Source organism: Homo sapiens, chromosome 7, assembly GCF_000001405.40.
Source record: "Homo sapiens chromosome 7, GRCh38.p14 Primary Assembly".
Taxonomy (NCBI): Eukaryota; Metazoa; Chordata; class Mammalia; order Primates; family Hominidae; genus Homo; species Homo sapiens.
The window spans coordinates 139,382,437-139,410,077 of record NC_000007.14 but is presented as its reverse complement, the minus strand read 5'-3'; the positions used below and the strand labels follow the sequence as shown (position 1 = coordinate 139,410,077).

Sequence of the window (27,641 nt, the reverse complement as noted above, 5' to 3'; positions counted from 1 at the left end):
CCGCCACCTCGCCCAGCTAATTTTTTGTATTTTTAGTAGAGTCGGGGTTTCACCGTGTTAGCCAGGATGGTCTCGATCTCCTGACCTCGTGATCCACCCGCCTCGGCCTCCCAAAGTGCTGGAATTACAGGCGTGAGCCACCATGCCCGGCTGGATTTTGTTATAAATCTTACAAGATACGAAGCATTCTTTATTCACTCTTCCACACATTTTAAAGGAAATCACATTCCGTTAAATGGCCAAGAGTTACGATACTTGTATAATTAAACATTTATATAATTCGCACAGTAATATTTTTTAAAGTAAGCAGAAGTTTCCCACGTCCCATAACAGATTTATCACCATCTAAAATTTAAAATCAATTATATCTCTTTTTAGAACCACAGAGATTCAACTTCAATTACTTGGCCCATTACTCCATACCTCCTCAGCTTCTCCCTTTCTTCTCTCTCTCTCTCTTCTCTTCGTTTCAGCCGTTCCTGGTTTCTTTTCTCCTGCTTCTCAGCTACGACTCTCTTAAAAACAGTAATAAATGAGGAGAATATTTACTGAGTCCATTCTTAAACAGCTTTATCCTAAACTTTATATTATCTGGTTTCTAATACAGTACAACTGCTGTCAAAATCTGTTTAATAATTCAATTTGAAGTACTGCCAGAAATAATCATTAGGCCTACAAGTCTTCTTTCCATAATCTTTCCCCATTTTGTGGAAAATGTGTAAAATTTCACCTTTCTCCATGATTTCTACTTGGTTTTTTTTTTTGTTTTTTTTTTTAAGTGAAAACAAATTATTTTAAAATAGAGACAGAATCTCGCTATGTTGCCCAGATGGGTCTACAACTCCTGGGCTCCAGTGATCCTCCCACCTCAGCCTCCCAAAGTGTTGGAATTAACAGGTGCGAGCCACTGAGACTGGCCTATGATCTTATTATTTTTTTTTTAGAGACAGTCTTACTCTGTTGCCCAGACTGGAGTGCAGTAGCACCATCTCGGCTCACTGCAACCTCCACCTGCCAGCCTCAGCCACCTGAGGAGCTGGGATTACAGGCGTGCATCACCACACCCAGCTAATTTTTCTATTAATATTTTTTAGTGGAGATGGGGTTTCACCATGTTGCCCAGGCTGGTCTCCAACTCCTGGCCTCAAGTGATCTGGCCACCTTGGCATCCCAAAGTGCTGGGATTACAGGCATAAGCCACCATACCCAGCTCCATGACTTTTTTTTTTTTTTTTTGAGACAGAGTCTCGCTCTGTCGCCCAGGTTGGAGTGCAGTGGCACAATCTCAGCTCACTGCAACCTCCACCTCCCGGGTTCAAGTGATTCTCCTGCCTCAGTCTCCAGAGTAGCTGGGACTACAGGCACATGCCACCACACCCAGCTAATTTTTATATTTTTAGTAGAGACAGGATTTCACCATATTGGCCAGACTGGTCTCGAACTCCTGACCTTGTGATCCGCCCGCCTTGGCCTCCCAAAGTGCTAGGATTACAGGCGTGAGCCACTGCGCCTAGCCTTTCATGATTTCTTAATGACATTTCCAAGTCACTTCTACAAGATTTTCCTCCTCTAAATGTTTTCTAGTATTATTTTGTATTTTTTAAAAAAACATCAACCATTATAAATCACAAGTTCCCATGCCCTGTGATTTCTAATATGGAAATATTTAGGTCACTTCCAATTACCATCCTGATGCTGCTGCTTTTTAAAGATATGAGTAAAATGCTTGAGTTCTGTTGCTAGGTCTATCTGCAAAGACTCCCAAGTAGGAACCACTGGAGTTTTAACTTGGAGCCTAGTAACTATTTGCTATAGTGACTCTTTTCGAAATTTTTAAAAAATTACTTGAGATCACCCTAGCTACTCAGAATACTGAAAAGAGCCCACTGTTACCTGAGAATATGGAGATGTCCCTAGGCATTTTCTGATTCTATATTATTTTAAATGCTATGGACCTTGAGTTAATTCCAGTTGACAATAACAGTTACAAAGAAAATGACTATCCCATGTTTCCTATCTGTCAGCCAGACCTCAATTCATGAAAAAACACTACAGTGCCACAATTCTTAAAAAGCTATCAGCATATTAAAAGGTAAATAGATTATATCCACCAACACTCATCTTTACCACTTCAGAAATATCACCATGCTTTTTTGTGTTTATCCCCTCTAAACAACAAGAGTAAAAACTGTGTTGTCTTCCCCACAAAAGCCTATATTATTTAAGTAATAGTGATTGTCCTTTTAAAAAAATATAAATTTTTTCATAAGTCCTTTCTGAAGTGGAAGCAGGAGCATAAAATAAAACTAGAGATTCTGCAAGCTTGCTATTTAATAAAGAATTGCAAAATATTTCAAATTAATATTGGGTTCATTTTCTCAAACTTCTTATAAATATTATATTATTACATTCTTATTGACCTTATTGAAAAGAACAATAACAATGAAGTTTTATGGGACTCTTTTAGTAACTAGTTTGAAAGATCCCTAACTCGGTGTCATATCTAATATAAAATGGTAACTCCCAAAATAACAGGATAATATTAAGTCTGTTTCTCAGGCAGCATCCATTAAACCAACTTGAATTTCCATCTATAATCCTACACTGTTTAGTATTAATCATTAGATACTATATTACTGAATCATAGTCAAGAATATTGTACAAAAAGGCAACTGATACAGATCAAAAGAACAAGAGGATAAAGTGAGGAATATTTTACCAATGTACCTTTAATTCTTCAAGCTTCTCTCTTATTTCAATAAATCCCAGGTGCAGTTTACCCCCAAAATGATCAGCCAGTCGTCTGTCATTATCATGAAGTCCTAAATAGGCAGAGCAGACTTCACAGACTCGAAGTTTCTGCTGCTGAAAACTGGAAGCTGGCATAGAATTCCGATAAACTTCCTAAACAAAAGTGAGAAAAACAATGACCATATAAATCTCACTAAAAGTCATACAATTAAATAAAATATACTATGCTTATACCAAAAGTGTTTTCTAAAAAATACACAAAAGTGGCTGGGCACGGTGGCTCACTGGGGCGAGACTCCAGCTCAAAAAAAAAAAAAAAAAAAAACCACAAAAGCATGGCTATTTTGTTATGAAAATTATAGGTTCCCTTTATCCCCATCCTCTATCCTTAGCGCCTCTCTCCACTGGAGTATAAGGAAATAATAAACATGAACAGAAATCAATGAAATAGAAAACAAGAAAAAAACAATAAAATCAGAAGACTGGTTCTTTGAAAAACAAAATAAAACTGACCAGCTAGATTAATTAAGAAAAGACACGAATTGCAAACATTCTACAGATATTAAAAGAGAACACTATGAACAACTTTATATCAATAAATACAACTTAGAGAGATTTTCTGAAAGACAAATTTACCAAAAGTATTTTAAAAAACAACAACAACAAAAAAACAGGCCAGGCCGGGTGGCTCACGCCTGTAATCCCAGCACTTTGGGAGGCTGAGGTGGACAGATCACCCCAGGTCAGGAGTTCAAGACCAGCCTGGCCAACATGGTGAAAGCCTATCTCTACTAAAAATACAAAAAATTAGCCGGGCATGGTGGTGCACACCTGTAGTCCCAGCTACTCAGCAGGCTGAGGCAAGAGAATCGCCTGAACCCAGGAAGCAGAGGTTTCAGTGAGCTGAGATCGCACCACTACACTCCAGCCTTGGAGAGAGAGTAAGACTCTGTCTTAAAAAAAAAAAAAAAAAAGGCCCTGGTGCAGTGGTTCATGCCTGTAATCCTAGCACTTTGGGAGGCCGAGGCAGGTGGATCACCTGAGGTTGGGTGTTCAAGACCAGCCTGACCAACATGGAGAAACCCTGTCTCTACTAAAAATATAAATATTAGCCAGGTGTGGTGGCATGGGCCTGTAATCCCAGCTACTTGGGAGGCTGAGGCAGGAGAATCGCTTGAACCCGGGAGGCAGAGGTTGCGGTGAGCTGAGATCATGCCATTGCACTCCTGCCTGAGCAAGAAGAGCAAAACTCCATCTCAAAAAAACAAAAAGAAGAAGGCTGGACTTGAACTGGACTCAAGCGATCCACCTTAGCCTGCAAAATAGCTGGGACCAAAGGCACGCACCACCACAACCAGCTTTTTCCGAGTTTTGTTTTGTTTTTGTCTTTTAGTTCAACTTCTCTTTAACAACTGTTCAATAATTTCCATTCAAATACATGTTCTTAGAGAAGTATAGATACTGAAGTTTCATCTACTACTTTTTATTTGTAGTCTTACCAAATTAAGCAGAATTCGTCTACTACTATTAAGAATTTACCTCTGCTTCTCTTTTCTTTGCCCGTGCTTTCTCTACTTCATCCATTACTTTCTGGGATTCCTCCACATTCCCTTCAGCTCCTAGTTGTTCCACCTTGGCTAACAATTTACCAATTTCTTCATTTAACTCATGAACACGTTCTGCCTAAAAAGAAATAAAAAAGAAGATCATGAATAAACAAGAGAATGAATTTTAAATTTCAAAGTATTTCAGAACTGCTGAGAAAAAACTTGTTATCTAAGGCAGTATGTGGTTAAAGAATGCTTTCTGAGCGTATCCCAAATGAACTACTGAGACATCAGGATGTTCTGAGCCTGCCTGCCTTACCTCAATGAAGTCAGGGCTACTACTGGGCCCAATATAACTTTCTATCCTCTGGCGAGGTGGTGTATTCCTAGTGTAAAATACGATTTCTTCCATGATCTGGCCCTTTGTACTTTTCTAAACCATCTCTTGCTACTCCCCCACCTCACAACATAATTTATAGTTTCCCCAAACTTACCCTGTTGTTTTCTACCTCTGTTACTTTGCATATACTCTTCTTTCTGGGATGGGATCCCTTACCTCTCGCCTGCCTACTGAATATTCACTCGTTCCAACAAGATACAACTCAAGGGCCATTTCTGTAAAACATTCCTGAACAGTCACCACATCCCAGCCCCACTTAAACACATCAGCAAAGATGGCCATACTCTCTCCTTTGTGTCACCTTTGTATCTTTTTTGACAGTTCCTTTCATAAATATCATACTACTTTAAGGACAGCTATCTGTATTTCCCATCTTTGTATCTCTAGTGCTCAGCAAATAGCCTAGGCTCAAATATGAGTTAAAGAAATGAATTGGTGGATCAAGTTCAGGAATCCATCAGATCTGACTTATTGCTAAACCAATTACTATCTGTGTAATTTTGGCCACATTACTTATACCTGAATTCATTTCCTCATCTAAGAAGTACCTATCCCACAAAGTTGTGAGAAATGAGAAAATAAGCCTCGTATGTACCCTGCATAGCACCTTGCTGATTTTCAGCATACTCGCCTGGCAACTCCACTCTATGAGTCCTTAGCTTTCCACCAGGATTAACTCTGGCCTTGGGAAAGAATACGTTCCTCTTCCTCATCACCATCATCATCCTAGCAACTTAGTTCATTCCTACTGTTGTAATGGCACATAAAACATACATATAATCATTATTTGGGCCACAAAGTCTTTGCTGTATGGCCAATTATAATATGTTAGCAAAGAAGGTTTTAATTTTTTGTTGTTATTGTTGTTTTTGAGATGGAGTCTTGCTCTGTCGCCCAGGCTGGAGTGCAGTGCCATGATTTCAGTTCACTACAACCTCTGCCTCCTGGGTTCAAGCAATTCTCCTGTCTCAGCCTCCCACGTAGCTGAGATTACAGGCGTGCACCACCATGCCTGGCTAATTTTGCAGTTTTTGTAGAAACAGGGTTTCACCATGGTGGCCAGGCTGGTCTCAAACTCCTGACCTTAAGTGGTCCACCCACCTTGGCCTCACAAAGTGCTGGGATTACAGGTGTGAGCCACCACGCCCGGCCGAAGGTTTTAGTTTGGTATGAGTTTCCAGTCCCAACAAACCAGTTTACTGGTTTAATTAATAGTCTTTACTTCTCAAATATCCTTCAACCCAAAATATTTCTTCCCTCAATGAGAGTCCAATTCTATTATCACTATCCTCCCTCTCTACCAAATGGTATTTTCCTTTAAATGTATCATTGAATGACTAAACTGTTGTCCAAAACTCTTCTTTCTTCCCTGTATCCATGTCCTTGACCATGTAATTGTGTACCATCGTACTCTGACTCTGAATTTGGCCATGAACTTGCTTTGGTTACTGAGATGGTAGCAAACATGACCAAAGGAGAGGCCTGTGTGATGGGGCTTGATGCTTCTGCACCTCTACCACCACTATGAGAACACGGCCAGGCTAGCCTGCTGGGCATGGCTCTGCATCCTCTAGTGGACTGCAAGGCATGTGAGTAAGCCCAGCTGAAACAAGAATAACTGCTCAGTCAAGTTCAGCCTAAATCACTGACTGCAGAGTCATGGGCTAAATAAATAGTGTTTTAAGTCACTGAGCTTTGAGGTGGTTTGTTATACAGCATTTGTGTAGTGATGGATAACCAATACAACCAATACAACTCAGGCTCTACCAAGCACTTACAGATCTCTTCCAACCATGAGATACTAGATCCTTTGTACTTCAGGATGCCCGTCTTTCCAGTCCCCATCTTCAGAGAATTTTCAGAAAAGGTTGACTAAAAGCAACCCTTTTCTCAAACGATGGAATCTATTTTCATTTGTATATACATATCTGAACACCATATTTTAATACTGTCATCTAAACTCCACCTGGGTAACTCTTTTTCTCCCATTCTGCATTTTCATAAAACACACTTGATCATACTGAATGGAATATAATTATGTTGTAATAAGTCATCAACAAATGCAATATAAAAGACCTTGTTTGGATTCTAATAAATCGACTCTATAAGAAAAATAAACATACACTGGATAACATTAAAAAATTACTGTTAACTTTATGTATGTATTACTGTGGTTATAACTTACAGGTGAAATATTGACATTTAACATTTGCTTTTAAAAGCAAATAAAAATACTGTGGTATATCTGTACAATGGAGAAATAAAAAGGAATGAACTGATACACACAACTTGAATGAATCTCAAGAAAGTTATATGGAATGAAAAAGGCCAAATCTCAAAAGCGTACACAGGATTTCATTTATGTAACACTCCATGAAATAACATAACTACAGAGATAGAGAATAGGTTAGTGGTTGCCAAGGGTAGAGATGCTGGGTGGGGGTAAAGATGGATGTAGCTATAAAAGGGGTAACATGAGGGAGTCTTGTGGCAATGTTATACTTAAGCATCCTAACTGTGGCTGTAATTACACATGTGATTAAACTGCAGAGAGCTGGCCAGGCGTGGTGGCTCACACCTGTAATCCCAGCACTTTGGGAGGCCAAGGTGGGTAGATCGCTTGAGGCCAGAAGTTTGAGACCAGCCTGGCCAACATGGCAAAACCCTGTCTCTGCTAAAAATAAAAAAAATTAGCTGGGCCTGGTGACGCACACCTGTAATCCCAGTTACTCAGAAGGCTGAGGCACGAGACTTGAGCCCAGAAGGCAGAGATTGCAGCAAGCCAAGATTACACCACTGCATTCCAGCCTGGGCAACACAGCAAAACTCTGTCTCAAACAAAAAGAAAAACAAAAAAACTGCACAGAGCTATACATACAGACATGCATACACAAATAAATGCATGCATAACTGGCAAAATCTGAATAAAATATAAGGATTAGACCAATGTCAATTTATTTGATATTGCACTATATTGTATAAGATGTTTACACTGGGGCAGACAAGAAAGTATACAGAATTCCTTGTATATGTCTTTGCAATCTCTTGCAAATCTAATTATTTCAAAATAAAAACTTAAACAAAAGGAGTCGAAATAATACTTTGTACTAATGAAATGATTAAAATTCTTACCTTTGCTGCTACTTCAGCACTAATCTCTTCTTGAGTTTCTGCTAATCTTTTCTTGGCCACTTCTGTTCTACGATCACAATCTGCAATGAATGACTGCAGATGATCCATGGCCTACAAAGTTTAATTAAAGACAATTACTGTCAGAAAGTCAATTTTATTCAGAAATATCTTCATACAAAAATCACACTTTGCTTTTTAAAATGCTACCATGGTGGGGCACGGTGGCTCACGTCAGTAATTGAGCACTTTAGGAGGCTAAGGCAGACAGATCACTTGAGGCCAGCCTGGCCAACTTGGCGAAACTCTGCCTCTACTTAAAATCCAAATTTAGCCAGGTGGGTGGGGCACACCTGTAGTCTCAGCTTCTCGGGAGGCTGAGGCGGAAGGAACACTTGGGCCCAAAGAGGCTGAGGCTGCAGTGAGCCCTGATGATGCCACTGCACTCCAGTCTGGGTGACACAGCGAGACCCTGTCATTAAAAAAAAAAAAAAAAGAAGCTGGGCGTGGTGGGTCACGCCTATAATTCCAGCACTTTGGGAGGCCGAAGCAGGTAGATCACCTGAAGTTAGGAGTTTGAGACTACGCTGGCCAACATGGTGAAACCTCGTCTCTACTAAAAATACAAAAATTAGCCAGGCATGGTAGTGCGCGCCTGTAATCCCAGCTACTCGGGAGGCTGAGGCAGGAGAATCACTTGCACCTGGGAGGCTGAGGTTGCAGTGAGCCAAGATCGCACCACTGCATTCTAGCCTGGGTGACAGAATGAGACTGTCTCAAAAAAAATCACTTGAGGACATGAAGAAATGTTCAGGATTCATTTGTAAATAAAAAGCAAATTACAAATGTTATGCAGTAAGATCCCAATTTTGTAAAATAAAGACAGAAAAATCTGCTGCAAGTCTAGATCTGAATGGACAAAAAGAAAATACAGAAAAAATGGAAAACTATACAAAATGCTAACAGTAAGTATTTCCGAACATTTTTACCCTTTTTTCTTTTAATTCTCCAAACTGCTTTAGAATTTTTTTTTTTGAGACAAGAGTCTCGCACATCAGGAAAACTTATCTTTTTTCAGAGAATAAACCATTGAGAATTTTAGCAGTATCTACACTATAAAAATTCAATATTTATATAAGACATTTGTGAGGCACATATTAATGTCTACAATTAATAGTTCATTTAAAAGTAAACTTTAAGAATTCATTCTCAAGTTTGGACTTCCAAATCTTACTGTACAGAAATATAACTAATTCAAGATACAAATGTTTGAACTAAAAATACAAATTTATTCAGCACACATTGAATTCCAAAAATAGTTGGATAACCCAAGAATTTCTTCAATGTGAAAAGCAATAAGGATCATTTCTTAAACAGCTTTTATCTGTGATAACATAAAAATAGTTAATTTCTTTTAATTTGAAAATTTTTAAATCACAACAGAAATCTATTCAAATTTCCTTATGTAAAGATAAAGATGGCATCTCAAAGCAGTGAGAGAAAAGATGGACTAATCAGCAAATAGTGTTGGGTGACTAAGTAGCTATGTGGGGTTGGGGGGAGACTAGATCCATATCTCAGTTCCTTAAACCAGAATAAATCTGAGATGAATCGAGGACTTAAAAGTCTATAAAATGAAGCCAAAATATGCCAGAAGAAACCACAGGAGAGAACTCTTAGCACCTCAGAAAAAGAAAAGCGTTTAGAACTAATGAAATAGATTTGGTTTCTCTGTTTGTGTTTTGAGACAGAGTCTCGCTCTGTCCCCCAAGCTGGAGCACAGTGGCATGATCTAGGCTCACTGCAACCTGACTCCCGGGTTCAAGTGATTCTCCTGCCTCAGCCTCCTGAGTAGCTGGGATTACAGGCACCCACCACCATGCCCGGCTAATTTTTGTATTTTTAGTAGAGATGGGGTTTCACCATGTTGGCCAGGCTGGTCTTGAACTACTGACCTTAGGTGATCCACCCCTGCCTCGGCCTCCCAAAGTGCTGGGATTACAGCCTCCCAAAGTGCTGGGATTACAGTGCTGGGATTACGAGCCACCACGCCTGGCTATAGATTTGTTAAAGACTGATAAATCAGAAGATATAAATATAAAAATACCCCCGCAAGGCCAAAAACCACCAAAAAAGTAGGGAAAATGTGTTGTAAATTATATTTCTGAAAACAATTTCATTTCCATTAGCAGAAATTCTTGGATATTCAGAAGACAAGAGGACCTGTTTGTTGGTTTATCTCCTAAAACCAAATTTAAAACATCTATTATTTCACTTATAAAATGTATCAAAGATTTATGCACATTAGTATGTTTTATGTAATGCTGATTATATATATGCAAAAAAACTTTATTTTTATGCAAACGATTTTCATATAAAAACAGCAATATAAAGTTACATTTCAGGCTTTTTTAGGTATCTAAATGGTGTCTTCCATTTCTTGGTTTTTCATTAAAAACACTGTCCTTAATATCCCCCAAACGGCCGGGTGCCGTGGCTCACGCCTGTAATCCCAACACTTTGGGAGGCTGAGGCGGGCGGATCACGCGGTCAGGAGATCAAGACCATCCTAGCTAACACGGTGAAACCCTGTCTCTACTAAAAACACAAAAAATTAGCTGGGTGTGGTGGCAGGCGCCTGTAGTCCCGGCTACTCGGTAGGCTGAGACAGCAGAACAGCATGAACCCGGGAGGCAGAGGTTGCAGTGAGCCGAGATTGGGCCACTGCACTCCAGTCTGGGCTACAGAGCGAGACTCTGTCTCAAAAAAAAAAAAAAAAAAAAAAAAAAAAAAAAAAAAAATCCCCCAAACACCCATATGCATGTCCCTCAGTATCTGTGGGAGATTGGTTCCAGGAGACCCAGCGGATACCAAAATCCATGAATGCACGTTTAATATAAAATGGTGTAATACTTGCATATAATCTCCCAGTACACATCCTCCCATATACTTTAAAATGTCTCCAGATTACTTATAATACCTAATACAATGTAAATGCTATGTAAACAGTTATACTGTAATGTTTGGGGAATAATAACAAGAACAAAATGTCTGTACATGTTCAGTACGGATGCAACAATCCATTTCTTCTGCTAAATATTTACAATCCCAGTTGGTTCCTTCTACAGATTCAACGACAGATATGGGGGGCCAACTATATATACATGTATATATATATATAAGTAGATTCAAAAATAAATATGAATGTAAAAACTCAGTATATTACTAAAGATAGGTCCTTATATACACTATAAATTAGTTGCTTACATTTGCTTGATATTTCCTTAATCATTACTATTTTGTTGGGAAGAATATGCTTAATTTCCAAAAGAATATATGAATCATACGACTGTTACACATTTTCTTAAAATACAGTCTCACCTCATATTTTTAAAAGAGTTGTCAAGAAAGTACATGATCTTACTTGAGTCTTACCCTTCATATAACCAGAGGATAAACTGCTAAGAGTTTTTCCTATTAAGAGATCTTAATCCACATTCACAATGTTTTACAGCAAAAGATAACAACAAACCATTAAAGCAAAATCACATACATCAAGTTCAAAGAAAAAATCTTGTTCTTTGGATGCAATTTCATAATCCGCTCTTAAAGCCAGGTCATGGACTTTCAGACATTCTCCAAGATCCATTCTCTGGAAGGGAAAAAAGACATAATATTAAAACAAAAAAAAGTTTTTTAAAAAATGCTTCAACAACCACAGTTCTTGTCAGAATACATATTAAGTCATACAGATGCTTTTTTATGTAGGGGCTTCCAAATTACAAAATTTCATAGACAAATATAAAACGTGGTGTCAGAAGAAAAAAATGGCACCAATTTTGTCTACCAACAGATGGGAACAGGGATCACTTGTATTTAAGAATAAATGGATATGGAAAAGCTTTTCAGAATCTGAAAAAAGCTAGCTTCTATATCACAACATAGTTCATTTAGCTCCACAACACAAAAAAGATCAAGTTAATTTTAAACCAAACTAAAAGAATATATACATCAAATTGTTGAGATGTCAATGTGCTTTGAAGAACATCCTATTTTTCAAATAAAGATGGAGTCCTCAAAAACCAGACTGGTGGCCAGGCATGGTGGCTCATGCCTGTAATCCCAGCACTTTGGAAGGCCAAGGCAGGAGGATCGCTTGAGCCCAGGAATTTGAGACCAGCCTAGCCTGGGCAACACACTAACACCTGTCTCAATTTTAAAAAATAAAAAATTTTTAAAAACCCACAACAAAACAAGACTGTTGACTTTGATATAGTCTTGTCTGGGGACAAGACTCCATATAAACTAGTAAAGAGGTGATTTACTAGTAAGACCCAACATAAGTGCACAGAGAACAAGCATTTAATCCCACTTATAATAAGCATGTATCAGGGAAATAAATACTCTTACTGAATCTAGGGTCCTTCTACTTGGAAATTCCAATTAGGTGTTATTTACCAAACCAGAGGCTTTCCTCATATCTGAGACAAAATATCTAAAAATCTATCCATTTTTATATGTATCTAGGCAACTGTTAAGATCTTTCATGAAACTTTTTTGGGGGAAAATATGAGAAAAAATTGGCAAGATGCAAGGATCATTACAGGTATGATTAATCGGTGATGAAAGCAAGGCGGAGATTTTCCAACTGGAGGTGTGACCACCCTTGGAATACCTCAAAATCTCTGGAGGGTTGGTAAAAAGGGAGTACAAGTCATTCTCCTTCCTTTGACTATTAAGTTCCCACTTGTGGTAAGCACTACTTTAGGTGCTAGGGATATAGACTTAAGTGACACAGACAGTCTGACTTCATGGAGCTTACATTCTATTTGAGGGGAAACAAATAACAAGAATCATGTCTATGAACAAAGTCAGATGATGTAATAAAATAGCAATGTTCCCCATTATTATGGGGGCCTACTTGGGATGAGTTGGTCAGAGAAGACCTTTCTGAAGAGGATACAATTAAACTGGATCTAAAGAGGGAGAAGCAAATGAATCTTAGGAAAAGGCAAAAAGTAATGTTCCAGGTTGTACAGAAGATTTAGAAGGCAGATCTTTAAAATATTTATTTATTTATATGCCACTATTAATCACAGGGAAGTTTATGGTAACAGGGAACAGGAATAGAGTATGGCACACAGGTCTGAGCCTTAGCTTTGTATACAGTATCTAAAAATGAGTATGCCTATTTAACTTGTCAACAACCTAAATATGTATAAAACAAACGTATGATAATTAATTTTATAAAATATCCCAACTAAAAAGGATAGCTAATGCACGAGATCAAGATTCAAAAGTATTAATAGACCAGATAAAATTTAAAAGAAATAAATATGAAGTCCTATAGTTACATATCCAAGACAATAAATTTACAAATAAGTAGGTATGAGCAGAGAATCAGACATTTTAAAAATGTAAGTAGTCAAGAGTAACAGTTACAGCATGGCACAACTGAGAAAAATCTATATTGTCTAAAACTAACTCAAAGAGGACACAGTATAAACAAAGTAGGAACTCTCTACTGAAGGCTGGTTTTAAAAGCAAACCACTGCTCTCCAAAACACACATTCTATGTACTAACACATTTCAAAAGGAATATGAGAAAATTAGACAAAGTATCTCAAAACCAGGCTGCACAAAAAAGCCAGGGAACAGAAATAAATAGAGAAGACAAAAGATGTGAACCAACTTCAATCAACTGAGGAATTTTTCATAAAGCAGCAGAAATAGATTTGTTTTATTATGGCCCGAAGGGACTCCAATGAGTCAGACTTCAACTCTCTGAATACTTTTTCTTCTTTTTTTGAGACAAGGTCTCACTTTGTCACCTAGGCTGGAGTGTAGTGGCATAATCATGGCTCACTGCAGCCTCCACCTCCCAGCTCAAGCGATCCTCCCACCTAAGCACCCCTCCCCGACAAGTAGCTGGGACCACCGTCCCCCGCCACCATATCCAGCTAATTTTTTTTTTTAAGTAGAGACAAAGGGTGCTATCTTGCCCAGGCTGGTCTCAAACTCCTGAGCTTGAGTGATCCTCCCACTTCAGCCTCCCAATGCTGGATTACAGGTATGAGCAACTGCACCTGGCCAAGAAAATATTTTCAATAATCAAAGCTTTCTGAAGGTAGAACAAACATCCTCAGAGTTAGGGAGTTCCCAGATAAATGAGATGTTCAAACACTGTTTTGACAACCATTTTATTAGGATATTAAGGAAATAATTCAACCATCAGGTAGCTTTTTTCTTCCTTCGGACTCTTAGATGTTGTGACTATTAAAAAAAGTAAAAAACACACAATGTTTCTGGCCACAGTGGCTAATGCCTATAATCCCAGCACTTCGGGGGGCCAAGGTGGGAGGATCACTTAAGCCCAGGAGTTCCAGACCGGCCTGGGTAACATAAGAAAACCCCGTCTCTACAAAAAGTAAAAAAGAAAAAAATTATCCAGGCATGGTGGCCCATGCTTGTGGTCCCAGCTCCTGAGGAGACAGAGGCAGGGGGATCACTTGAGCTCTGGAGGTCAAAGCTGCAGTAAGCTGTGATCATGCCACTGCATTCCAGCCTGGGTGACAGAGCTAGACCCTGTCTCAAAAGTAAAAACAAACAGAAAATGTTTTTCTGTAAAACTATATTACCTTCAGTTCTTAATTATATAATGGAATGAATGGGAACGTATAAATTCTGCCCCCAGTTATCCTTTGGGAAATAATGAGGACTCATCACTGTTATAAAAGTCCTCATCATGCTTAATGGTATTAAAGTACTGTACTGTTACTGAGCATGCTGAGATTTTTCCAGGCTCCAATCCTTACCCCCCGATTCATTAGTCTGGTTTAACAAGCTAAGGAGTTTTTCAGTGACAATAAACAAAAAGTAAAGCTTTCTATGATGTGTAGAAATTCAAATTTAAAAGGTGCTCATTAAACAATTATTAAGAAAATGCAGAAAAACTTAAATATTCCTAAGAAAGAATTCCAGAAAATATAACAGGAATGAAAGAAGCTAATGGCAGAAGGATGCTGTCATTGTCTTTGATATGCCAGGCAGTACGTTTCTGAAATTAACAATTTCTAAACATCAATCACGCCAACAACTTCCTTAATATTTTATTTCCACAAGCTATAGCTGTTCACATGATGCTACATTCTATTTTATTTCATAAAATGCAAGATGTCACAGTTGGAAAGACTTTTTGATCCACTGTGGTTCTCAACTTAGACCTGGGGAACTTTTACATAATATTGATGGAAGCTTTTAAAAAACAGTCCCAATTCCTACCTCCCAAAGACTGACTGAATTGTAAAAGCCCCCCAGGTATTTTTAATGTGCAATGTTGAGAACCACTCACTGATCTAGTTTTAGTCCCATTCTTTGCACAGAAAGAATGACTTGCTCAGGGTGCTTATCAGAAAATCTGGTTAGACTGATTCCTAGTCTAATATTGCTTCCACTTTACCATGCTAGTTCCGGTTATTTCAGTACTAACTTACCTTTCAATATTTTTCAGTAAGTCATTCCCCACAACATCTAAGAAAGCTCACCACAGAGATTCAAAGCAGCTGTCTACTTCCTTTCTTCCGTATCTCCTTTATCTTACTTTCATCAGTTCCCTGATCAACTACATTTCCAATCCGTATTCAACAAAAACTTAAAAGTAACACATAAATTTTGCCTCATTGTTTTTAACCTAAACATCTCTGTCTCTATTGCAATAATTCTAGGCTCCCTGCCTCCACTTCTTTAAAGTTACATCACACAACCAACCAAAGGAAGAAAAGCAACTATGTAGACTAAGAACAAAATGAACACAAGAAAGATACAATTTTACCACTATAGTAGAGGTGGACTTTTTGGTGAGAGTAGCCTTTTGGGGAAGGCATGCCATGGGGAAGATGCATGAGAGGGGTAAGATTAACTCACTAAAATGTGAGCTCCATAGGGCAAGGATTCTTCTGTTTTATCTACGATGTGCCTATGTTGAATAAATCAAACTAGGAAAGAGGGCAAAGAAGAACATTTGGCACAGGGCGGCTTATTAACAAGCCAGAGTGGTCAAGATGAATTCCAGGACAAAACTGATCTGAGCTTCTGGAGGGAGGTTCTTCTTAGCCTCTCCTTGGATTATCTCTTTTGCTTGGACTCCTTACCTTCTTAAGTGTTTTGAGCTATTCTTCTTTTTTCCTCCAAGAGGCAGGCTAGTTGGGCTTGTCACTTTCTGGGCTCTAAGTCCTTGCAAGTTTATAGCCTAGCCTGACTCATCATAGTAGATTTTGGTGTCAAAGCCCTAGGACCAAGGGCCTAATTATAATAAAGAAGGCTTTTTTGTATGTGGAATATCCTCAGTGGTTATCTCTTCAGGGACCTAGTGGGACAGTAGGTATAGCCAAGGCAGATTTTCAGAATACTAGTCATCTATATTCCTCTGTCCATACCATGATGACTACTAAGCATCTACTCTGGCACTGTGCTATGCACATGAGAAGTACTTAAAATTTAAAACATGGTCAGGTGTGGTGGCTCACTCCTGAAATCCCAGCACCTTGGGAGGCCAAGGCAGGCAGATACTTGAGGTCAGAAGTTTGAGACCAGCCTGGGCAACACGGTGAAACCCCATCTCTACTAAAAACACAAAAAATAGCTGGACAGGGTGGCAGGCACCTGTAATCCCAGCTACTCAGGAGGATGAGGTACAATAATCACTTGAACCCAGGAGGCAGAGGTTTGCAGTGAGCTGAGATCGTGCACTCCAGCCCGGGAAACAGAGTAAGACTCTGTCACAAAATATATGATTATTTATTTATTTATTTTTACTTTTTTAGAGACAGGGCCTCACTCTGTCCCCCAGTCTGGAGTACAATGGCATGATCTCAGCTCACTGCAACCCTACCTCCCAGGGTCAAGCAATCCTCCCGCTTAAGCCACCTGACACCTGAGTAGCTGGGACCAACAGGCACACATCACCATACCCGGCTAATTTTTTGGAGACAGAGTCTCGCTCTGTTGCCCAGGCTGGAGTGCAGTGGTGCAATCTCAGCTCACTGCAACCTCTGCCTCCCAGGTTCAAGCAATTCTCCTGCCTCGGCCTCCCTACTAGCTGGGATTACAAGTGTGCACCACCACACCTGGCTAATTTTTGTATTTTTAGTAGAGTTGGGGTTTCATCATGTTGGCCTGGCTGGTCTAAAACTCTTCACCTCAGGTAATTCAACCGCCTCGGCCTCCCAAAGTGCTGGGATTACAGGCGTGAGCCACCACACCTGGTCTTAAAATTTTTTTTTTAATTTAACAAGTAGTTGCTGGGTGCAGTTGCTCACGCCTATAATTCCAGCACTTTGTGAGGCCGAGGCGGGCAGATCACCTGAGGTTGGGAGTTTGAGAACAGCCTGACCAACATGGAGAAACCTCGTCTCTACTAAAAAAATACAAAATTAGCCGGGCGTGGTGGTGCATGCCTGTAATCCCAACTACTCGGGAGGCTGAGGCAGAATAGCTTGAACCTGGGGGGCAGAGGTTGCGGTGAGCCAAGATCACACCATTGCACTCCAGCCTGGGCAACAAGAGCGAAACTCCATCTCAAAAAAAGACAAGTAGTTTACTTCATAATTAAATTCCTTCCACAAGCTTATTCTTGGTTTTTAATATTTTTACATCTAAATGCTTAGATTGTAGATTTTTTAAAAAATGCTTATTTGTAATTAAGTTCAGTTCTGCATTTTGTCTTCTCCATTCTGAATCCATTACTGCATGAAATGTGGACCAAATAACTATACCTGATCCTGGTAACTTATAGCTCCACAGCATTTTATATTGTTTTACTAACAAAGGTAACAAAGTTAAATCGTCAAGAATTTTTAACTTTTCTTTTGAAATTCCAAAAGTGAATGTTATTTCCCCAAATAAACTCTTAAGCTTCATTAGAAAAATGGTCCATTTTTCTTACTTATCCCTCCCAGAAGACCAGGTTTTGCACAAACCATGACTACTGAATAAACCTGATAATTTGACTAAGGAATTCTATTTCTAAGGAATTAAGAGTGAAATAATTATAAAAAGATAAATGGAGAATAAAGTTTAACAATGTTGTTTTTTATACAAGAAGAAACATTTTAAGAGCCTCTCAACAGAGGTTTGGTTGATTCAGCTATGGAATAGCCATACAGTGTCTATTTAGCCTTTAAAAATGATGTTCTTGATATACCAAGTGGAGAAAAGAGAAGGTGGCAAAGAAAGACATAATAAAATACGAATTTTGGAATTTACAAATCTATATTACTATGAGGGTTGTTTGAACTTTCTAGTACTGGTTGAATTATAAGCAATGAGCATGATTATTACTACAATTGGAAAAATCAATGAAGCCAGGCCGGGCGTGGTGGCTCACACCTGTAGTCCCAGCACTATGGGAGCCTGAGGCAAGCAGATCACTAGAGGCCAGGAGTTCGAGACCAGCCTGGCAAACATGGTGAAACCCCGTCTCTACCAAAAATATAAAAATTAGCTGGGCATGGTGACATGCCTGGAATCCCAACTACTCAGGAGGCTGAGGCAGAAGAATCACTTGAACCTGGGAGGCAGAGGTTGCAGTGAGCCAAGATCATGTCACTGCCCTCTAGCCTGGGTGACAGACTGAGACCCTGTCCCCCCCACCAAAAAAAAAGAAGCCAATTTAATTTTAGAGAAAAAAAATTGAGAGGCATGTGAAAACTATACATTAAAATCAACGAATAGACATATTACAGTAGAGCAAATCAAAAGGTTGATTTATACATTTTGAGTGTACTGCTAAGTGTAAATTAATAGTAGTAATATGTTAATGAATATATAAACGATAGAATTTGGCATAGTAATAGCTCCAAGTAATTGTAAATATAACTGCTTTGTTATGTGTTTGAACATTTGTTCAGTTCTAAGAACCAGATCCTGAACAAAATTACAGAACAGCATGAGAATATAATTTCTACTATTATGGAATTTATATTCACAATGGAAATCAAGGCCTTAAACTAAAGCAACAGCTGCAAGTGTCTACAAAGATGTACATACAAGGATTTGACTGCCACAGTGTACACCAAAAACAGAAACAAAGACTATGAATATATTAATACTCACTGCATGTAAGAGAACAGCCACACTACACAATATTATTCAGGCATTTTTAAAAATGCAGACAACTGATATGGAAACCTCTCCAAGACAAGTGAAAAAAATTCAAACAATATAATGGCATCTGTTAAAACACACAAGCTTGTGTGCACAAGCATTTACACAAGGAGAGTGAAAGATGTACACTAAATTGTTGACAAGGTTTAGATCTGAGAAGGAGGGTGATGTATAATTGGAAATATTCATGTTTTATGCTTTATTCTCCTGTACTTAAAAACTACATTGTCTAGGCCCGGCATGGTGGCTCACACCTGTAATCCCAGCAGTTTGGGAGGCCGAGACGGGCGAATCACGAGGTCAGGAGATCGAGACCATCCTGGCTAACACGGTGAAATCCCGTCTCTACTAAAAATACAGAAAAATTAGCCGGGCATGGTGGTGGGCGCCTATAGTCCCAGCTACTTGGGAGGCTGAGGCAGGAGAATGGCGTGAACCTGGGAGGTGGAGCTTGCAGTGAGCCGAGATCGTGCCACTGCACTCCAGCCTGGGCGACAAAGCGAGACTCCGTCTCAAAAAAAAAAAAAAAACTACATTGTCTAAGTAATAAGACAGACTAGGCCAGACGCAGTGGCTCATGTCTGTAACCCCAGCACTTTGGGAGGCCGAGGCAGGTGGATCACTTGAGGTCAGAAGTTTGAGACCAGCCTGGCCAATATGGCGAAACCCCATCTCTACTAAAAATACAAAAATTAGCTACTCAAGAGGCTGAGGCAGGAAAATCACTTGAACCCAGGAGGCAGAGGTTGTGGTGAGTGGAGATGGCGCCACTGCACTCCAGCCTGGGGGACAGATTGAGACCCTGGTCTCCAAAAAAAATAAAAATAAAAAAAAAAATAAGAAAAAAAGAGAGAGAGAGAGAGAGAGAGAGACTGGGCACTGGACCACATCAAAACACCTCTCTTTACCTCGTATTATCCATTTGATCCTGAGAAATTCACTTAAACTCTCTGACCTTCCAACCTGGAGTGCAGTGGCACAATCATAGCTCACTGCGGCCTTGAATTCCTAGGCTTAAGTGATCTTCCCACTTTAGTCTCCTCACTAGCTAGAAGTACATGTGCATGCCACACCAAGTTAATTTTTTTTTGAGATGGGATCTTGCTATGTTGTCCAGGCTGGTAACTCCTGGCCTCAAGTGATCCTGCCTGCGCCAGCTGAACTTCTGTTTTCTCAAGTACTTCAGGATTGCTGTTCAGATCAAGTAAGATGTTTATAAAAGCACTCTGAAGGCAGGCTGTCAACCTACTTATTTTTGCATATTGATTGCAATGGGATATAAGCTCAATGAGGGAGGAACATAGTCTTTCTTGATCATTGTAACAGCCCCAATCAGATAACACAGTCCACCACATAATAGGTACTCAATATTTTGTTACATAATATGATATAATATTATATTACAGCTCAATATTTGTTCAATGAATAACTTATTTCCTTGGCTCATAACTTTACCTACTTCTAATGCTTCCATTTTCAAGCAAATTCACAAAAGAGGGCTATCTTTATTAAATATCAGTGTGTATGAGGAGGTTTCTAGGACAAGTGAAGATAATTTACACAGAAGACAAATAATAGAGGGAAAGAGCCAGAGCACATGCTTCAAGAGGAGAATACAGTATTTCCTATCGGGAAAATAAAGAGGAACAACTTAACTGGAACGAGAAGATTTCTACTAGAAGATAAAGGAAAATGATGGGGGGAAAAGGGGATGTAGGATTATACTGGCCCACAGGCCACTAGTTTACAGCCTCTGACTAGATGGTGAAAGAGTCTGAAAATGAGTCAAAAAAAATGCAGAATTTATTCTGTAGGCAAAGAAGAATGCTTGACTACTCAGGCAGAAATACGACACAATAAAATCCATGTTTCAGAACCATTAACACTAGATGGATTGACCAGAAGAAAGAGACAAAGGGCAAGAAAAGATATTACAAGAACCTAGGAATAAAGCCACTGGGGTCAAATTAGAAGAGAAAAAAGAAAGGAGGTGACAGAGGTAAACCAGAGTGCCGAAGAATTAAAAAAAAAAAAAATCATTTAAAAAATGTGAAGTGTCTCTGGAATAATGAATCCCATCACACCTTCTTACAAATATGGAAATCAAGACTCAGACAGATCAATATTTGCCTAAGATCATAAGCTAATGGCAGCAGAGTAAAAATCTCAACAGGTCTTTAATATAGCTCAATATTCTTTCAATAACACAATAACTTTCAACCTACAGGTATTAGCTAAATGGAAATTAAGTGTGGAAAGAAAAAAGTCAGGAGTCTCTTCAGGGTTTCAAGTATTTCAAACATGAGAAAACAATGATGCCACCAAGAGAACTGACTAAATCAAATGGGAAAACTGATCTATGAGGGAAAATGTCTTGTTCTGGACAAGATGATTTTGATGTAATAACAGGAAATCTAAGTAGCAGCATCTAGTATGATACAGATATATGACTACATTCACTACAGGCTTTCTTTATCCAAGTTTTCCAGGATGAAAGTTATACATATTCCTCCCCATAGTTACAGCTCAAGCATTTTTCCAGAAGATGCTCTAACGAATTACACAAGAACACGGAGTCTGACCCCCATGTTAACAAGTATACCTTAGACATGAGTATAGGGTGAAGAGAAATGGGGCACATTGTGCATACATAACGCTGCTGCTTTTCTACCACTTCCCAATTTCTTAACTGCCTCTTCCCACTTGTATATGTTCCAGCTCCAAACCTATTTTTCCCAAAGTAAAGATAAATCATGATATTTTTCTACCTTTTTGTAATTTTCTTAAGAACATAGGAAATATTTTTATAACCATTTCTGACCCTAGATATGCAAAGAAAACTAGAAAAAGTTAAAACAAGAGGTCTTATCACACAAAGACTATGGTGTACTATCTAACTGGAAAGAGAGAGAGAATGAGAATATATACACAAATGAGATAAATTTTTTTTCAATAGTACAGAAAGCAGGTGCTATACTGGGGTTCAGAGGCTAAATTGTTACAGGGTAAGGCAATCACATATAGTAAGCCAGATAGGATTTAAATTTGTAGAGAGGAGAAAGAATATTGCAGGCAGAAGAAAAGAGTGTAAACAAAAATGAGAAGCATGCGAGGGAAAGAAAGGAGTGAGACGACAATAAGTAAATCAGTTTGGTCAAACAAGAGAACCAGGCCAGACATGGTGGCTCACGCCTGCAATCCCAACACTTTGTGAGGCCATAGCAGGAGGATCACTTGAGGCCAGGAGTTTCAGGCTTCAGTGAGCTATAATGACACTACTGCACTTCAGTCCTGCATGACACAGCAAGATTCTGTCTCCAAAAAAAAGGAAAAGAAAAAACAACTTATACGATTTATTCATTCAAGGGAGAAGTAGCCTGGGTAAGTATTTTAGATTTTTCAGTACAGGTATAAACAATACAGAACCACCACAAGTTTTGCGTAGGAACAAAATGGCAAGTTGATTCCCACTCAGAAATGACTACCTTCTTCTCCACATTCGATCTCAAATGTCACTTCATCGAAAATTTTCTCCATTTGTTTCTTTTGTTTCCATCAGGAAACAAGAGCTCTCGTATAAAAAATAAATAAATAAAATAAAAATTTTCAGCCAGGCGCAGTGGCTCACACCTGTAATCCCAGCACTTTGGAAGGCCAAGGTGAGCAGGAGTTCAAGACCAGCCTGGCCAACATGGTAAAATCGTGTCTCTACTGAATATACGAAAAAATAGCCAGGCGTGGTGGCAGGCGCCTGCAGTCCCAGCTACTCGGGAGGCTGAGGCAGGAGAATGGCGTGAACCTGGGAGGCGGAGCTTGCAGTGAGCCGAGATCGCGCCACTGCACTCCAGCTTTACAAGTCATATTATCTGAGTAAAATCAACACATATCTTTATTTTTGATCCTGCAAGCCAAAAAAGTTTATGAGACCATGTATTCTCAAAATGCTCTGGCCGGGCACGGTGGCTCATGCCTGTAATCCCAGCACTTTGGGAGGCTGAGGCAGGTAGATCACCTGAGGCCAGGAGTTCAAAACCAGCCTGGCCAACATGGTGAAACCCTGTCTCTACTACAAATACAAAAAATTAGCCGGGCATGGTGGCACGTGCCTGTAATCCAGCTACTTGAAAGGATGAGGCAGGAGAATCGCTTGAACCCAGAAGGAGGAGGCTGCAGTGAGCTAAAATCAAGCCATTGCACTCCAGCCTGGGGAACAAGAGCAAAACTCTGTCTCAAAAAAAAGCTCTAATCCTTTAATCCTATATAGGTTAAAGTAAAACACTAATGAGCTTTTAGAAGTTCCCTTAATGAGTAAGAATCAGCTAGAAAGCATTTAGGTCTTGCCTAAAGGTTGAACTCATCACATGTTAAAAAATATTTCCAGTGGCCGGGCGTGGTGGCTCATGCCTGTAATCCCAGCACTTTGGGAGGCCGAGGTGGGCAGATCATGAGGTCAGGAGATCGAGACCATCCTGGCTAACACGGTAACCCCGTCTCTACTAAAAATACGAAAAAAAAATTAGCCAGGTGTGGTGGCAGGCGCCTGTAGTCCCAGCTACTAGGGAGGCTGAGCCAGGAGAATGGTGTGAACCCGGGAGGCGGAGCTTGCAGTAAGCCAAGATCACACCACTGCACTCCAGCCTGGACGACAGAGTGAGACTCCATCTCAAAAAAAAAAAAAAAAAATTTCCAGTGACAGAGAAAAATATTTCCAGTGACAGAGATTTTGTAATTCTTTGTAAATGTGCTTGATGTTTGTGGTTAATCGCCTGTATAAAGAATATTTTTAGGCTGGGCACAGTGGCTCAGGCCTGTAATCCCAGCACTTTGAGAGGTCAAGGCAGGTGGATTACGTGAGGCCAGGAGTTAAGACCAGCTTAGCCAACATGGTGAAACCCCATCTCTACTAAAAATACAAAAATTAGCCAGGCGTGGTGGTGGGTGCCTGTAATCCCAGCTACTTGGAAGGCTGAGGCATGAGAATCACTGGAACTTGGGAGGTGGAGGCTGCAGTGAGCCAAGATTGTGCCATTGCACTCCAGCCTGGGAGACACATCAAGACTCTGGTCTCAAAAAAAAAAATTATTGTTTTCAAGTTTTCATTTCTTACTATTGTGTTCAATGAATTACATCCTCCAAATGATGTATTTATAACTCCATATTCCCTTTTTCAACAAATAGTTGCGGAGAACACACTTGTTTCCTTAGAAGTGTTAAAATACAGTTGATAAAACTACTTATCTCTAAAAAACATCTGGAGGGTCCAGGAAATACTAAGAGAATAATTCCTGATCCTTAGGGAAAAAGCATTTATTGAGACTCATTGTACAAAGAAATCAATATGACACTGAAATATATTAACCAGTACTAGACTATGAAAAACAATCTGCTTCAATGACTTCCAGACCTCCTACTTTGTTTGGGAATAACTGGTTTTTACTACTTTCTTTAATTTCAAGAGTCATCTTACAGCTGGGTACAGTTGTTCACCTCCATATCCCAGCATGTTTGAGAGGCCCAGGTGTGAGGATCCCTTGAGGCCAGGAGTTTGAGAAGAGCCTGGACAGCATGGCGAGAGTCTCTCTCTACAGAAATTTTAAAATTAGCTGGGAATGGTGGCATGAGCCTGCAGTCCTTGCTACTTGGGAGGCTGAGGCAGGAGGATCACTTGAACCCTGGAGTTCAAGACTGCACTGGCTACGATTATACCACTGCAGTCCAGCCTGGGTGCCAGAATGAGAACCTGTTTCTTTAAAAAAAAAAAAAAAAAAAAAAAAAAGTAATCCTAACTGATAGATTCAAGACTTTTGAAGATGTCCTTCAAAAAAAAGCTGCAGGGGGAATATATGTGATTATAAATAAAATACAGTAGGCTGTGTGTAAAATATTTCCTGAAGCTAGCTGATGGGTACATGAAAATTCATTAAATAAACATCAACACTACAGTCCGCCATACCCATATGAACGTATATCTGTACTTATTAATACAAGTAATACACAAAAGTGCTGACAACCCTCAACTAGAAACAAACACTAAACCAGAATAAGATATTACTATACATGGTTTATGGGTCACCATGGGGAAAAAAATTACCTACCTCCATAAGCCTGAATTGTGTTATTTTAAATAGTATATAAAATGAATGATCTAAGATTATTCAAAATAGAGCCAGATATGGTGGTGTGCATCTGCAGTAGTCCCAGCTACTTAGGAGGCTGAGTTGGAAGGATCAACTGAGCCCAGGAGTTCAAGGCTGTATTGCACCATGATTGCTCCTACAAATAGCCACTGCACTCCAGCCTGGACAACACAGTGAGACCCCCAACTCTTAAAAAAAATTATTATTCAGAATGACAGAAAAGGATTATTTCCAAAGGGCGTGAGTACCCCGTTTACTATTTTTGAGTATTCTTGTTCCTATTTGCCAAAAATGTTTTAAACGATTAAAGCCTTGGTTTTTAAGGTTTAATAGTAAAATTTTAATTATTCACTGGCAATCTTTTAAAGCACTGTTAACTTCCTGGGCACCAAATGCATTTTTTATTTAGGCAGTCTCTAGAAATAGTTGAGAATATATATTTTTGTAATAGACTGAGAGAAATAAAATACAGCAAATCTGCTTAAAATAAGAACACACTTCAAACCTAAATTTGGAAATTAGCGGGGCATGGTGGTGCAAGCCTGTAATGCCAGCTACTCGGGAGGCTGAGGCAGGAGAATCGGTTGAACCCGAGAGGCAGAGGTTGCAGTGAGCCACGATCACGCCACTGCACTCCAGCCTGGAGTATATATGAAATATATATACATTTGACTAAATATCAAGCCAATAATCAGGGTTAATGCCAAAAACATCAGATCTCCACATCCAGATCTCTTCAAATTTTAATCTTAGTTAAATAATACTTAAACCCTTAAATAATACCAAGGCAGCCCAAAATAAACCATTTATGGGAAAAGAGTTAAACAATTTACAGACTGATTTTTCATACTTGCACAGGTAACCACTGGTGTCATATTTTGATAAGAAATCCAGGCCAGGGCCAGGCAAGGTGGCTCACACCTGTAATCCCAGCACTTTGGGAGGCGCCAAGGTGGGTGGGTCACTTCAGGTCAGGAGTTCGAAACCAGCCTGGCCAACGTGGTAAAATCCTGTCTCTACTAAAAATACAAATAATAATAATAATAATAATTAGCCAGGCATGGTAGCGGGCACCTGTAGTCCCAGCTACTCGGGAGGCTGAGGCAGGAGAATCACCTGAACCCAGGAGGCGGAGGTTGCAGTGAGCCGAGATCACACCACTGCACTCCAGCCTAGGCGAAAGAGCAATACTCCGTCACAAAAAAAAAGAAAAAAGAAAAAAAAAAAGACATCAAGGCCGGGCGCGGTGGCTTTCATCTGTAATCCCAGCACTTTGGAAGGCCGAGGTGGGCGGATCACCTGAGGTGAGGAGTTCAAGACCAGCCTGGCTAACATGGTGAAACCCCGTTTCTACTAAAAATACAAACAATTAGCCAGGCATGGTGGCGTGCAGCACCTCTAATCCCAGCTACTCGGGAGGCTGAGGCAGGAGAATTGCTTGAGCCCGGGAGGCAGAGGTTGAAGTGAGCCGAGATCGCGCCATTACACTCCAGCTTGGGCAACAAGAGCAAAACTCCATCTCAAAAAATAAATAAATAAATAAATCCAATAAAGCCAAGATACTCTCCACTTTGGGAGGCCGAGATGGGCGGATCACCTGAGGTCAGGAGTTCAAGACCAGCCTGACCAACTGGAGAAACCCCGTCTCTACTAAAAATACAAAAAAAATTAGCCAGGTGTGGTGGCGCATGCCTGTAATCCCAGCTACTTGGGAGGCTGAGGTGGGAGAATTGCTTGAACCTGGGAGGCAGAGGTTGCGGTGAGCCAAGATCGTGCCACTGCACTCCATCCTGGGCAACAAGAGCAAAACTCCGTCTCAAAAAAATAAATAAATAAAATAAAAATACAAATACAAAAATTAGCCAGGCATGGTGGCATGCGCCTGTAATCCCACCTACTTGGAAGGGTGAGGCAGGAGAATTGCTTATGCCTAGGAAGCAGAGGTTGCAGTGAGCTGAGGTGACACCAGTGCACTCCAGCCTGGGCAACAAAGGGAGACTCCTCCAAAAAAAAAAAGATACTTCAGCAGTTTTTAAAGTTTGGGTTTGTATGTACCCACATAACTGATTTTTAGATCAGGCTTTAAAACAGAGTCAGGGAAGCAATAAGAAAAAGGAGTTTCAAATCATAAAAGGTGCACCTGGGATAAAACCCGGAACCTACTGGGGCAACATAAAATTCAGTCAGAATATCTGACAACCAATAATCCCATCTAATCACTTCAAATAAGCAAATACATTTTTACTTTAATTACTTTAGGTTGGGCATGGTGCCAAATTCCTGTAATCCCAGCACTTTGAGAGGCCTAGGCTGGTGGATCCCTAGAGCCCAGGAGTGTGAGACCAGCCAGCCAGGACAACATGGTGGAAGTGAAACTTCGTCTCTACAAAAAAAACACAAAAATAAGCCGGCTGTGGCTGCGCGTGGCTGTTGTTCTAGCTACTTGGGAGACTAGCAGGAAAATCACTCGAACTCAGGAGGGAGAGGTTGCAGTGAGCTAAGATAGCACCACTG

General features: G+C 39.8%; 2 protein-coding genes across 4 annotated transcripts in view; both read right to left on the bottom strand.

The window, feature by feature from the left end:
- LUC7L2 (LUC7 like 2, pre-mRNA splicing factor) overlaps positions 1-27,641 on the bottom strand; it is an 82,983-nt gene that overhangs the window by 13,377 nt on the left and 41,965 nt on the right. For all 3 annotated transcript variants that reach the window (NM_001244585.2, NM_001270643.2, NM_016019.5), the window contains 5 exons: positions 11,381-11,479; positions 7,831-7,941; positions 4,291-4,434; positions 2,728-2,904; positions 424-515 (listed from right to left, as the gene is read on the bottom strand). In NM_001244585.2, the coding sequence (NP_001231514.1) occupies positions 424-515; positions 2,728-2,904; positions 4,291-4,434; positions 7,831-7,941; positions 11,381-11,479 (623 nt within the window). The remainder of the gene's footprint in view (positions 1-423; positions 516-2,727; positions 2,905-4,290; positions 4,435-7,830; positions 7,942-11,380; positions 11,480-27,641) is intronic.
- The window catches only part of FMC1-LUC7L2 (FMC1-LUC7L2 readthrough), an 82,118-nt gene that overhangs the window by 13,377 nt on the left and 41,100 nt on the right, over positions 1-27,641 (bottom strand). Inside the window, exons 4-8 of the mRNA NM_001244584.3 lie at positions 11,381-11,479; positions 7,831-7,941; positions 4,291-4,434; positions 2,728-2,904; positions 424-515 (exon numbers count right to left, since the gene is read on the bottom strand). Coding sequence (NP_001231513.1) covers positions 424-515; positions 2,728-2,904; positions 4,291-4,434; positions 7,831-7,941; positions 11,381-11,479 — 623 coding nt within the window. The remainder of the gene's footprint in view (positions 1-423; positions 516-2,727; positions 2,905-4,290; positions 4,435-7,830; positions 7,942-11,380; positions 11,480-27,641) is intronic.